General features: G+C 36.9%; 1 protein-coding gene across 3 annotated transcripts in view, besides 1 other annotated feature; it reads left to right on the top strand.

The window, feature by feature from the left end:
- The window catches only part of SEMA3C (semaphorin 3C), a 179,852-nt gene that overhangs the window by 151,231 nt on the left and 14,047 nt on the right, over positions 1 to 14,574 (top strand). For all 3 annotated transcript variants that reach the window (NM_001350120.2, NM_006379.5, NM_001350121.2), the window contains 3 exons: positions 5,916 to 6,004; positions 9,502 to 9,543; positions 12,671 to 12,828. In NM_001350120.2, the coding sequence (NP_001337049.1) occupies positions 5,916 to 6,004; positions 9,502 to 9,543; positions 12,671 to 12,828 (289 nt within the window). The remainder of the gene's footprint in view (positions 1 to 5,915; positions 6,005 to 9,501; positions 9,544 to 12,670; positions 12,829 to 14,574) is intronic.
- Positions 6,404 to 7,140: an enhancer, noted in NCBI's record as "OCT4-NANOG hESC enhancer chr7:80393335-80394071 (GRCh37/hg19 assembly coordinates)". NCBI's record gives its function as "activates a minimal SCP1, AML or CMV promoter by ChIP-STARR-seq in naive H9 embryonic stem cells {active_cell/tissue: H9 hESC(naive)}" and the evidence as "EXISTENCE:reporter gene assay evidence [ECO:0000049][PMID:30033119]".

Here is a 14,574-nt window from a genome sequence, read left to right as displayed (position 1 = left end):
TGTGCCAGACACCATGCTAAGCAATTTCCATGTCTTACTTGTTTAATTTTTATTAGTCAGAGCTCTTTCAACTGAAAGTGACCACACACCTTACTCAGACTACTTAAAACAAAATAACTGTTTTCTTCGTTTAACTGAGAAATCCAGAACACAGCCTCAGACATAGCTGAATTTGTGCTAAGATGATGTGGTCAGGAACTTACTTCACAACCTTTCAGTTTTACTTCCTCTGCATTGCTTGTTCTCAAATGGAGTCTGTATGTGGTAGCAAGAATGGCTCCAGCACCTCCAGATTTACAAGCTTGAATGCTCCTGATTTCAGAAAGAAGAAGAGGCTCACTTACCTCATTCCCAGGAAGGGCAGGGCCCTCACTCTTTTCTAGGTCAGTTCCTTTGTGAATCACAGGGGCAAGGGTATGCTCTTATTGGCCAGGCTTACATCATGTGGGCCTCCCTGGAGCCGGAAGAGAGGTAAACCATTCCTTAACCAGGTAGACTGAAAATGAGGTAGGTGGTGTTTCCGAAAGATGTGTCAGGGTGTTAGTGCCAAAAGAAGGGAAGTGATTCTGGCTAGGCTTTAGCCTTAGCTTAATGGATTTTTAGATAGCCATTATGAAAAGCATGGTTATTATTTACGTTTTACACAATAGCAAAGTGAGGTTTAAAGAAAAAAAGAAGTGACAGCTTCGCTGTAACCATATCATAGACATGGTGCCTTCCCCAAGGATATAAAAGCAATAGTCCAATTCTGCAGAACACTAAAAAGGATTTATAGTTGTGAATACATTCAGGGAATACCATTCTCACCACCCCCAGAAGGAAAACATTTGATAAGTATATTATCATCTTCAAACGAAAGGGCATGCAGATGGCTTTATGTGGACATAAGTAATTGGGAGTTTTATGGCCATTCTGGAATGCCTGTCTCTCAATGACTAACATTTTAATGGGAACACACTTACTACTCAGAAAACCATAAATTCTAGATTCTGAACTCTTGAGTCCAATGCCTATGTATGTTTGCATCCATACTGCCCAACTCACTCAGTACTTTCTTGTTGAATCAATGAGTGAAAATGGATAGAACACAACTTAAGACTACTTACTTAATTATTAGTAAATGATACAGCGCAAGGATACCTCAGAAGTATTCCTCATACAGGGAACTCATTACCATCAAGACCAAAAATAACAAAGGAAAAGAGAAATGACTAAAAGTGGTATTGTAACTTTTACTGCAAATGGATAAAAAGCAGCTTTTGTATTGTGGTTTTTTTTTTTTTTTTTTTTTTTTGGGGGGGGGACAGAGTCTTGCTCTATCCCCCAGGCTGGAGTGCAGTGACACTATCTCAGCTTATTGCAACTTCCGCCTCCCAGGTTCGAGCGATTCTCATGCCTCAGCCTCTTCAGTAACTGGATTTACAGGCGCCTGCCCCCATGCCCAGCTAATTTTTTGCATTTTTAGTAGAGACAGGGTTTCGCCATGTTGGCCAGGCTGGTCTCTAACTCCTGACCTTAGGTGATCTGCCCATCTTGGCCTCCAAAGGGCTGGGATTACAGGCGTGAGCCACTGTGCCCGGCCTGCATTATCTTTTTATTAGCTCATCTTTATAGCCCTTCTTTGTGTAATATTTTTAAAATGGTATGCATAAAGTATGTTTGTTGTGAGCCTTGTCAGAAAATGGGGATTTCTGTAAAATTTTGCTCTCATAGTAAGTGAAAACATTGGGGAATATGGAGTCAGTTGTCTCATTTGAGAGTACTTATTTCTTTTCAGAGCTGATAGTTTTATCTATCAGAACCTTTCTAAGCAAAACCTGTTTTTATGCAGTTTTATTTGGAGCTGTGTTATACACAGCCTCTACTCAGTCTCTTTTCATAGGGCAACTGTAGTTAAGAGTAATTTATTGTATATTTTAAAATAACTAAAAGAGTGGAATTGGAATGTTCCTAACACAAAGAAATGATAAATGCCTAAGATAATGAGTACCCCAGTTACCTTGATTTGATCATTACACATTGTATATCTTTATCAAAATACCACATGTACCTCATAAATAGTACAACTATTATATATCCATAATGATTAAAGATAAAAAAATTTAAAGAGTTGCAAACAAGAAAGAATGTAGATTATGCTGTCACATAGAATGGTAGTGATTCTTACAAACTGCAGCAGGGAACCATAAAACTGTTAAGACTTGTTAAAAAAATGCTTTCTATGATAACATGCTCATATAACAAAGATTTTACATCTGTATTCTTCTGAGTTTTCTCTCCTTCATGCCTACAAATTAATTCAACAAATATTCAACAGGAACGTATATGCACACACATGCCTGTGGTCATTGACACACACACACACACACACAAATCTTGCCCTAGCTATCACAGTTTCATGGCTTTCAGATCAAGTGTTTTGGTATGTTGTATTTCCCTAGAAGTTTCCACTGCTAATTCCAATAGGTTGTTAATAGAAATTAAGGAACACCTCCAACCACATGCATCCATTTTCAGTTGTGACAGGTCTCTGCACAGCATCCCCATCCCCAAATGTTTTTTCACTTCTAATCTTTACTTGTATTATTTATCTCCCAAGAAAATCATCTAAGTTGTTATCGGGGTAATTCTTTTTTTTTTTTTTTTAGACGGAGTCTCGCTCTGTCGCCCAGGCTGGAGTGCAGTGGCGCGATCTTGGCTCACTGCAAGCTCCGCCTCCCAGGTTCACACCATTCTCCTGCCTCAGCCTCCCGCGTAGCTAGGACTACAGGCGCCTGCCAGCACGCCTGGCTAATTTTTTGTATTTTTTAGTAGAGACGGGGTTTCACTGTGTTAGCCAGGATGGTCTCGATCTCCTGACCTCGTGATCCGCCCACCTCGGCCTCCCAAAGTGCTGGGATTACAGGCGTGAGCCACCACGCCCGGCTATCAGAGGTAATTCTAAGGAAGCGGCTGCAAAGCAGATATTTCAGAGCCTTTTAATTAAAACTAGAGCCTGCAAATCTTTGGGATGATTATTATTTTCACTTTTTTTGAGTGTGGCTTAAGAAGTGAATTTTAAATTACAGAGTATGCTTTGCAACTTCTAAGATTATGTGCTTATACTTTGTATCCTTACAAATTTCAGGCATTATTCTGGCAAACTCTGTCTTGCTCTTTTGTATAAACATTATTTTTAATTTAGTGGATTTTTATTTTTCAGTTTGCTGTGTTTTAAAGTTGAGTTTATTTTTTATTAAGAATTACTTTGACTCTTTCAGTTGGATTCATAAAACACAAACTATAAACATGAGATAAAATCTTTTATGTCAGAGTAACTCGTGCCTGTGGAATAGAAGCCAACTTGAGATGTGAGATTTGAAATTTATAGTATTACTCACTAAATGATTTCTGGTTGTAAAGTCCTGTACAATTCAGTTCAAGTTAATTCTTCTTATGACATTTTCAGTAGAATTTAAAAATGTGCATTATGTTGATGATAATGCATATTTACAAATTATAAATTTAGTTATAATTTAAAAGAAGAATAACTTGATATTTATGATCCAACTCACTAGTTAATAAAAACATTTTAAGTAAATATATTTTTACTTTGCCAGATTACTCACAAATTTGCTTTAACCCCCACATTGCTAAATCTAAACTAGTGTCTTTTAAACCTAAAATTTATGTGATTGGTAGAGTGGCATGATTATATGCATAATGTTTACATGACTTGTGAAACCATTTATAAATCTTGACATAAATATTATTTCCTGTATTCTTATATTTATTTTGGCATCTCAATTTTTGGCTATCTGTAATTGGGACATATGAGTAAATTTCTGATTTGATTCAGCTTATTTGGATCATCTAATTTCAAAATTTCCTCTACATTTTGAGATATCCAAAGAAACATATTGCCAACTTGTTACTGGCAGCAAATTTGTATGGGTCTGCAGCAACCTAAGTTCCTGCCTCCTCAGAATAAGGAACTTGACCAAGGGGCCTAAGGCGGAGTGAGAGACCAACGCAAGTTTTAGAGCAGGAGTAAAAGCTTATTAAAAAGCTTTAGAGCAGGAATGGAAGGAAGAAAAATACAGTTGTGCGACTTGAGAGATCAAGTTTGCAGTTTTGACCTTTGACTTAGGGTGTTACAGGTTCTCATACTTCTGGGGTCTTGGACTCCTTCTCCCCTGATTCCTGCCTTGGGGTGAGCTGTCCGCAGGCATGGTGGCCTGCCAGCACGTGGGAGGAGAGCATGCGCAGTGTGTTTACTGGAGTTGTGCCCATGCTCACTTGAGGCGTTTTTCCCTTACCAGTCTAGCATTCCTAAAGGAAGGTCATATACCAGTAAAACTCTCCCATTTTGCCTGTTAATGGACATGCTTGAGCTCACTCACTCAGCTCCTGAGATCTTACTGGGAAGCTGCTGATCACCAGTTTCAGGTGTTTCCATCTACTGGGAGACTGTGTTTCCCTGGCACTGTTAACGGTGGAGGGTGTCCGGTTCTTGGCGTCTTGAGGAAAGAATTGGACAAAACACACAAACAAAGCAAGGAAGGAATGAAGGGTTTTATTGAAAATGAAAGTACACTCCACATTGTGGGAGCAGGCCTGAGCATAGGGTCTCAAAGGCCCCGTTACAGAATTTTTTGGAGTTTAAATACCCTCTATTTGGGGTACACCCTATGTAAAGGAAGAAGATGAAGTAAAGTTACAAAGTCATTTACCCGGCGTATGCCTGCGGAGAGGATATTTCCTGTCATAGCTGAAGTTTGAATCGGCTTTATGTTCCCTGCCTCCATACCCTGTTTTCCTGCCTCAGCACCAGCTGCAACCAGTTATTATTTTAGAGAGACATGACATGTGATAACTGCCTGACCATCACCTGTTGGTCGCCTGACATTACTGGTTGGGGGTGGGGGACTCTGCTCACCTATTCATGTCTGACTAGCTATGTACTGTAACAAACTGACAAATAAAATTGTGTAAATAGTAGAACTTTTCTATGAATAGGTGTCCACACCTGAAATAAAATCAGTTGTGTTTCTTTTTTGAAGATGATTTTGAATGGTGAGTGAAACATTTCACCATGTCGAAAGTCCATCACAGTTACAGACCAAATGTGAATTTTCCAATCCTAGTGACTTATACAGTTATTATAAAAATTCATTTGCAGTCATCTTTCTTCAGATAATGAAATCATTGTTTTAATGTTAACAAAATGAGATTGTCACTTTATAATGTTGGTGTGGAGGAGAAAGTAATATTAATGATCAAACTTAAACTTATGTATTGGCTGGTTACATTGGCTCACCACGCCTGTAATACCAGCACTTTGGGAGGCCAAGGTGGGCGCATCATGAGATCAGGAGATTGAGACCATCCTGGCTAACATGGTGAAACCCCCGTCTCTACTAAAAATACAAAAAATTAGCCAGGCGTGGTGGCGGGCACCTGTAATCCCAGATACCCGGGAGGCTGCAGCAGAACAATCGCTTGAACCCGGAAGGTGGAGGTTGCAGTGACCCAAGATCACGCCACTGCACTCCAGCCTGGGCAAGAGAGCAAGACACTGTCTCAAACAAACAAAACAAAACAAAACAAAACAAAAAAAACTTATGTATTGTATTATAAGAATACACATTTGGTTCCGAACTTTTGACTTAACATTCTTTCCTTCTCTCATAGTTGTAGCTACACCCAATATGTGCAAAATATAAGATATTCATATTAGTTCCCCTTGAATTGTATGTGTTTCAATTTTTATGAGATTTGGAATACATTCAGCACATGGCAGTGGCTTAATACATACAATGTTTTTTGATTACTAAATACTTATGTAAATAATGGTCCAAGTCAGTAGTCCTATGTCTAAATAGCTTTCTTTTAAAAAGTATTGTAACATCTCATTTCTTCTTTTTTTAATTTAGATCGGGGTACTGTGCAAAAAGTGGTTGTTCTTCCTACTAACAACTCTGTCAGTGGCGAGCTCATTCTGGAGGAGCTGGAAGTCTTTAAGGTTTGAACATCTCTTCTATTAATCTCAGAACATGCATGATGAGTGGAATTCTTTAATCTTACAGCCACTTGGGAGGAAACTATATTTGATAAAAGATCAAATAAATGAATGTTATGAATTTTTGAGGGTAGGAAAACACCAGATAAAATAAGAAATACAGAACAAATATTTTTGCAAAGTATTTTCCTACATTTCAAGTTATCTTAAGATAAAAGGATTCTTTCTGTTTTTAAGCTATCATCACAACTTGAAGAATTGTGGTCATCATTATTTTTAAAAAATGAGTTCTAGTTGTCAAGGTCTGGAAGATTTTGCCATGAAAGGGCTTTTATCATTTGCTTCACAAGCCACTGAAACCCAAATACTTTCACATTATTGATTGTTAGATAAGCTTTCTTATATTTTTTTAGCCAGTAATTTCAAGAAAAACGACTTTGTTTTCTCTTATTTTATTGCCTTTAATTCAAATGTCACTTCAGTTAAATAAAACAAATGTTGTCTCTTTACCACTCAGAACTTGAGATTTCATTGTATTATTCTCCTTGTCCTTGAATTTGGGATAAAAAAAGAAAAAAAGGACAGAAAAAAAAACATACACAAGGGAAGTTCAGTACTGTAAGATCTCACCTGGTCAGGGCAGAGTGCATGTTCTTTATGTATCTGTGAGCCAGGAGAGGGGATTTGTGGTGTCCTGCTGTGCCCTTCTCTACTCACAGTGTCAGTCACTGTAGTTCAAGTGGTGCTTTTTATCTGCATTTGGAAAGATGGGTAAAGCGCAGCAGAGGAGCTATTAGAATTGCAAAGAAAGTTTGGCATGGAATCAGTCCTGCTGCAGAACACTATTTCCAACTAAACCAATTAAGAAACAATGGCCCAGACACAACAAAAGACCAGAGTCAGCCTATGACTGAGTAAAAGTAGCACTTGAGAACTCCCAGTAGCAGACTCTTGCTAGTCCAGCAAGTTGCTTTGCTTAGTTGAGTAGACTTAGAATGTATTGACTCATTAGTAGACATTCCCACGGTCACCAAAAATACTGACTTTATAAGCACGTAAGTGGGTAGGGTGCAGTGCTGTTAGATTTAGGTAATACATTTTAAATGTAAAGAAATATAAAATAGAATCAAATAAATTTGAGGAACTCTGGCAAGTTTCCTACTATATTATTAAATTTGTAATTTTTAATGCTAGACTAACTTTGGCACAGGTTCTTTGTGATTGGTGTGTTAAAATCGGGCTCATAAAATGACGTCAATGATATTCAGACAAGTGCTTTTTCATGCCTTGTTTTATAAAGAAATTGATTATTTCACTAGATTAACCAGAATCACATTATATAGAACATATTTTTTTTCTCATTCAACTCAGTAGGGAGAACTTGGCTTGCTAAAATAATACGAAGTGCCTTATTCTGGAGTATTCTTGAAGATAGCAAAAATGTCATATAGCAGCACTTCATTTTTAATACTGAAATATCTCCTTTTGATTATCAGGAAATGTTAATTAAGTGAGCATGACATAAACCTAAACATACATGTTATGGAAAGAAACATGAGTTAGTCTGATCACATGCTAACTACTTATGGTCTGTCATATGAGTTATGCTGGTGTTATCATCTTGAATAATAAACTCTCAGTGGAAAAACAGAGTCAGTCAGAATGCACGTGGGGGACATCAGCCCATGAGACACCAAAAAAAGTCTGAGTTTTCTTACTGATGTGTGTGCCAGTGATTGATATGGCCAAGTCAGGAAACACAGTTACTGAATACAGTTACTGTCTTCAGCATGGTGTTTGTGTCACATTTCTGAGGTGAGGTAAAAATAATTGGGTGTGTATGATACACTGTCATGAGCATGTGAGGAAATAATGCATTTAAATTGAAAAGTTTTCTTAGCTAAGTGTCACACTGATGTACTGCAGAAAATTCAATGTGACTTTGAAAAACCAGGAGCTTTGTTTTTATACAGTGCAGGACCATAATCTCTTCTTTTAGTCCTCTGTTCCACATTTTCTGACAATAAGTCTAGTTCCGCTGAGTTTAACTAGAATTAGAAGTATAACTACTAGTAGCTGCCTAACTGATTATAGGTTGCAGCATTTGTATGTGTGTGTGCATGTGTGTGTACATATTTATAAGGGATGATCAAAAATTGTCACAATGGAGAATTAAAGATATCACTGTTTTCCCTTTTAAAATGTTGGTAAATACATGCAGCTCCAGAAAACAAAATAACGGGGGTACATTTGATTTTGAGAGCTTGTTGCCACTTGAGTTATTCAAATAAAGCTCATGAATCTTAATCACTTTACCAGAAGTCTAATTATTATTATTATTTTTTGAAATGGGTTTCACTCTTGTTACCCAGGCTGGAGTGCCGTGGCACAGTCTTGGCTCACTGCAACCTCTGCCTCCTGGGTTCAAGCAATTCTCCTGCCTTATCCTTCTGAGTAGCTGGGATTACAGGCATGCGCCACCATACTCAGCTAATTTTGTAGTAGAGACAGGGTTTCACTATTTTGGCCAGGCTGGTCTCGAACTCCTGACCTCAGGGTGATCCGCCCGCCTCAGCCTCCCAAAGTGCTGGGATTACAGGCGTGAGCCACTGCACCCCACCAGAAGTCTAATTTTTAATCATTAAAAGTAACTAATAATTTTTAAGAAGTGAAGTTATGAATAATTTGCAAGCATAGTACTATTCCAGAAAATTCTTAGGTTCTTTCATTCATTCACATTTTATCAAAAGAGAACCTTTTCTAACAATATTTTTTTGTTTGCAACAATGAGTATTAACTAGTATGGTTCAGCCTAATATATTGTCTTTCCGAAACAGCACTGGCAGGTGAACAATAGTGTCTTATGCAGAGTGCTTGTGTTGCGGAGGAATTAGATGGTGTACCATTCCACATCTTTCTCCACCTGAGTCCGTGGATCCAATTCTGAATTATTTGTCGGATTGAATATTCCAAAAATTTCCTTCTCAGATTTTCATTTTTTGTTCTAATGCCTATATTGATACATGTGTTTTAATTACCACTCTTTTTTTTTTTTTTTTTTTTTTATTGAGACGGAGTTTTGCTCTTGTTGCCCAGGCTGGAGTGCAATGGTGCAATCTCGGCTCACTACAACCTTCGCCTCCCAGGTTCAAGCAATTCTCCTGCCTCAGCCTCCTGAGTAGCTGGGATTACAGGTGCCCACCACCATGCCCGGCTAATTTTTGTATTTTTAGTAGAGCTGGGGTTTCACCATGTTGGCGAGGCTGGTCTCAAATTTTAGGTATATATCTGTGTAACAACTCTATCCTTAGTTTCTAAAGAGGAAGTGTACTTTATAGACAAGTATATGCAAATGTATTTTATATAACAAGTAATTTTAAAGTAGATGTATATATAAAGAAAAGTGATTTCTTCTTGAGATTTAATAGAAAAAAAATCTGAATGTAAAATCCTTTTAAGCAATATTTGAGCAACTAACATGTTGTTTTCTAATATTTTAGAATCATGCTCCTATAACAACAATGAAAATTTCATCTAAAAAGGTAAAAACTAAGCTATTTTATGTTCTTTGCTTATTGAAATGTTTTGTTGTTATGAAAAATTATATTTTATAACTTCTGAATAATTAGTTATCGTACTAACAAAATAAAGAGTACTACTTAAAGTATACCGCAAAGTCACCTTTAATTTTGATGTAGAACTTACAAGGTATTAGTGAAAGACCGAATAGGTTTATTTTTGTATAAAAGTTTGTCGGAGCAGAACATATATACAGCAAGATATTCCAACATTTTGTATATCTGATTTTCTCAAATATTACGGTGTGTGAAGCCAACCGAAATAAAAATAATCTTTCTGGGAAGAATTTAGCATAAAGTTTGGGCTACTCTATAACATCACAACATTGTTAGAGGCTTGGAATGAGTAATCAATCCTGAGTTCCTGCTGTTGTCACATATTTGAAATGCACAGTGTATTCTTTTATGCTTATTTTTAAGGAAATATTATTTCCTAGGATTTAAACATGTCAAAAAAAAGAAAAGTCTCAAATTTAAGGGTTCAGGAATTGGAAAAGAAATATTTGATTGTAATTGAAATCCTCAAATTAATTGTCTGATTTGTCCCTACACATGTAAATATACAATGATCATTGAAATAAAAAGTACAATTCCAATATATACATGAGCAAACCATGTACCTCTCCATTTCCAAAAGGTATTATTTAAAAAACAAATTTTAAGGTACAGAGTAATATAGTGAGAATGGAGTAGGCTTCCAAATAGGCTTGGCATGCATTTGCATCCCAATCTGACCATAATGTACAAACAAATCATGTAACTTCACTGACCTGAGTTTCTACATTTGTAAGGTAATGCTCTTCTCACAAACAAGTTAATTTATATAAATTACCTAGAATAAAGTGGATCCTCAGTAAATGCTGTCTGTAAAAGCCTGAGACCTATTTTTCTTGGAATACACAGTAAAGGTTTTATGTGTTAGCACAACCGATTACATGATTCTGGAGCTCTTCACCATATTTGGTTTGTTACAGATGAAGTGGTATTTTATAGTCAGTCTTACACTCTTTTGACATCACTGAATTTTATGAGGGAAAATAAATAAGGTACAATGGAGCTAACGATCTCATCTGTAAAAATGTTTGTATGGTGCATAACAAACATTTTCCCAAGTAACGAGAAGCCATTCGTCATTTTGTCTAATGTCCTAGGGAGTGGATCTCAAGTCAGGATTGTCTTTGAAGTCAGCAGGGAAGCCCTTTGTTTACAGTAGTTAATGGAAAGAGAAAGTAGCAGGGCAGGATTCAAAATGGACACAAAGCCATTTGTGTGGCATAGTAATCCTGTATGCAAGTTTTAACTATATTTAGTTATGTATTACATCTGTCTTCAACGTCTTAAATTGTAGATAATTTAAAATGTCTCATTAAAACAGTGAGATTCAAGGCAAGGATAATTATTTGACTTTTTGGAAATCATTTGTACAACTGCATACTGCATCATTTTTTTCAGTGCGAGAGGACTACAAATTGTTAATGACATCTTATGTGTATTTAAATAACTTTCTCAGTGTTTCCCATTTTATTATCCATCTTATGCTCTCTTATTTTTTAATTTGTTCTTTTACTCCATGTAACAGAAAATAGTACGCTTAATAAAAAGTATACTATCTAGAATGAAACTACCTGTGTCCTACACTCAAATATACTAGTATCCTTAAAGTATTTTAATGAAGCTGATAAATTTGCTGTATTATTTACTAATTTACTCGATAAACATTTATTTCAAATGTGCCTGGACAAATGGTTATTGTGAAAACACGCAGTTGTTTTCTTGTAGTTTGAATGTTTCAACTGGAGATCAGTCAATTTCAGCACAATTTCTGAAAAGTCAATTGATGTGAATAAAATTATTAGATGTAGTAGAGTGAGATGTGATTCAAATAATTGATTAGAATTGAAAACATGTATTGCTAGTTTAACTGGTATTTTACTGTACTTTTTACCATTAATTAACATTCATTGAGCAACTTGTGAGCCAGAAACTATTCCAAGCATTTTATGTGGAGGAAAACCTTACAACATTTATTTCTTACAAAAACTCCATATGGTAAGTGCTGTGTTATCCTAATTTTACTAGTGAGGAGGCTGTGATTCAGAAAAGTTACACAGCAAATTTGTAGGTGAGCTGAGATTTGAATCTAGGAAGTCTGGTTCCAGAGTTTCAGAGCCTGGCGGGCCCATGGTGTCTCCAGAGATTTAATTTTTAAATGTATATGTATGTGCATGTGTGTGTATCTGTACATGGAGGAGTACACACACACCCATACAACTGCATCAGGTTTCAGCTTACAGATTCTGTGCTAACTTGAGTTATATCAGTCCTTTGGAAAGTAAGGAGTATCAATTAGAGACTCATTCCTTCAGCTCCTGAGAACCATATTATGCACAGCTAAAGGAATCAAACCATTATCTTGGAAGCAGTAGACATCCTACAATTGAAGGAGGATGAAATCTTCATCCATGAGGTTTTTAGGATGATGAAGATCAGTGGATCAAGCAGAATTTTAAGACGTTTAAATATAAATACCGATATTATTCTAAATAATTATTTTTAAGTAGTTTTAATGAGTAACATGCAACTTTCAAAGGCATGTGACCAAAATATTCTTTTTTATTTCATCCAGTACTTACTATTTACCATTTTTTCCTTCTAAACTTAAAATGCCCTTTATTTTAAACCAGACTTTCTCAAATTTACAAAGTAACGTGTTGCCCCACTTGAAAAATAAGAATGCTTCCTTGTGCTTTGCTAAGATACAGCATTCAAAGAAAAAAAGTCATAACTTAAATCTGTAATATGTTAGCTCCAATCTGAGAGAACAATGAATCCCAATGTCTAAAACACATTACCATTCTATATGGTGCTTTGAGCTTTTCTTTTTTAACAGAAAAGTGGTAATGCTATAGGCATATTAATGTAGGAAAATTCTATTTATTTTGGCTTCATACCCTTCTGTGCTTTGCTTCATGTTTTTAATCGGTTCCAAAATGAATCCAAGGGTTTGTGGGCATATATTATAATGTGTTCCTGCTGAAAGTCTTCTTTTAACTTCCACATCTGAAATAAATCATCATCATTCCTTTAATAGCAACAGTTGTATGTGAGTTCCAATGAAGGGGTTTCCCAGGTATCTCTGCACCGCTGCCACATCTATGGTACAGCCTGTGCTGACTGCTGCCTGGCGCGGGACCCTTATTGCGCCTGGGATGGCCATTCCTGTTCCAGATTCTACCCAACTGGGAAACGGTGAGCACTAAACACTCGGCTCAACATCCAAATGTAGGACACCAGACAATACAGAAGTGTTTCACATCTTTAGAATTAGTTCTATTGCTGTTTCCTTAAATGACATTAAAGGTAGAAGCTATGTTTAACACCACACATAGTCTTTGAATGAAGAAAATGGTAATGTGTTATAACTTGAGATTCTCACAGATATGGTAAATCCAGAGTACAGTACTTTGGAAAGAGTCCTTTCTCCCTTCAAAGCTCCTCTGTAACACCTACTCCCCTAGGACTCATCAAATATTTCAAGTAGCATTTAGCTTTTTGCATTTTTTGTATCACCTAATTTATATCTTTTTAATTTTATTTATTATTTATTTATTTTTGAGATGAAGTCTCGCTCTGTCACCCAGGCTGGAGTGCAATGGTGCGATCTTGGCTCACTGCAACCTCTGCCTCCTGGGTTCAAGCAATCCTCTGCCTCAGCCTCCCGAGTAGCTGGGATTACAGGTGCCCACCACTATGCCCAGCTCATTTTTGTATTTTTAGTAGATGGGGTTTCACCATCTTGGCCAGGCTGGCCTTGAACTCCTGACCTCGTGATCCACCTGCCTTGGCCTCCCAAAGTGCTGGGATTACAGGCGTGAGCCACCGCTCCCGGCCGTCTTTTTTATTTTATATGCTTTAGTGTAGCCTTAAAACCCACCTTCCTAGGATTTCTCTACATTGCTTAATTATCTTGTAAACAAGGATACAATATAATTATCTTATAATGCTGGTTCTAGTTCAAGCTACAGGAGTATTATTTCAGCATGGATACCTTGATTTGCTTTCAAAACCTTGATGACCATGCTTTATCCTTGGAGTGGTGAGTGCATGATTACTGGTTAGGTTAAGAAAGAAAGTCAGTCTGAGGCAGGGTACTTTTTATCCAAGTAGAATTCTAGGTGGGAAACTGCATCGACTTGTACCAAGTTGGAAGGAACCATGAGTAGAGAAATTGAAAAGGAATATGCAGAATTCAGAGTCAACCAAGGTCATAGGTATTTTCAGTCATACAGTGACATAGGTCATGATGGTGACAAGGCTAAAACCTTTGAAAATTAGGGTTAGCAGAGGGAGCAAATAGTAGCAGCCATGAGCACCAATGATCTTTCAAGTAAAGCACTGGGGTGATGGTGCTTTATGGTTTTTATTCTCTACATTCCTTTGAGGACCTTGACAGATTGTAACAACCCTAGAGCTTTTGTGTATTAAAAGTATTCTGATCCTCTTATTCATTAGTTCAACAAATATTTTCACTGGAAATATATTTTCCAGGCATTGTTTTAGAAGCTAGGCATATAACAGGAAAAAAGACAAAAATCTCTGTCTTCAGGGATAATGCATTCTAAAGAGAAAAGATCGATAATAAATAAATAAGGAAAACCTCTGGTATATCAAATAATAACACGATCTGTGAATTTAAAAAGGGCAGAGAAGGTAGGTACAATAAGTGGTAAGCAGGAGGTCGTGATGTTAAATGGGTGGGTGTCAGAAAGGGCGTTACTGCGGACATACTGTGTGAGCAAGGACTTCATGTGGAATGGCACCAAGACGTTATCTAGCAGAATAACATTCCAGGAAGAGGGACCAGAAATCTCTAATACTGGAGTATGTCAGGATTGCTCAAGAAACAGCCCTAAAGCTAGTGAGGCTGCCCTGAAATGAGAAAAGGAACGATAGGAAGAAATGAGGTCAGAATGCCACATGATGTCAGACTTTGTA

The sequence above is a fragment of the Homo sapiens genome, chromosome 7 (genome assembly GCF_000001405.40).
Source record: "Homo sapiens chromosome 7, GRCh38.p14 Primary Assembly".
In the NCBI taxonomy this organism is placed as follows: Eukaryota; Metazoa; Chordata; class Mammalia; order Primates; family Hominidae; genus Homo; species Homo sapiens.
The sequence above is the reverse complement of the archived record's forward strand: the minus strand, read 5'-3'. Positions and strand labels throughout refer to the sequence as shown.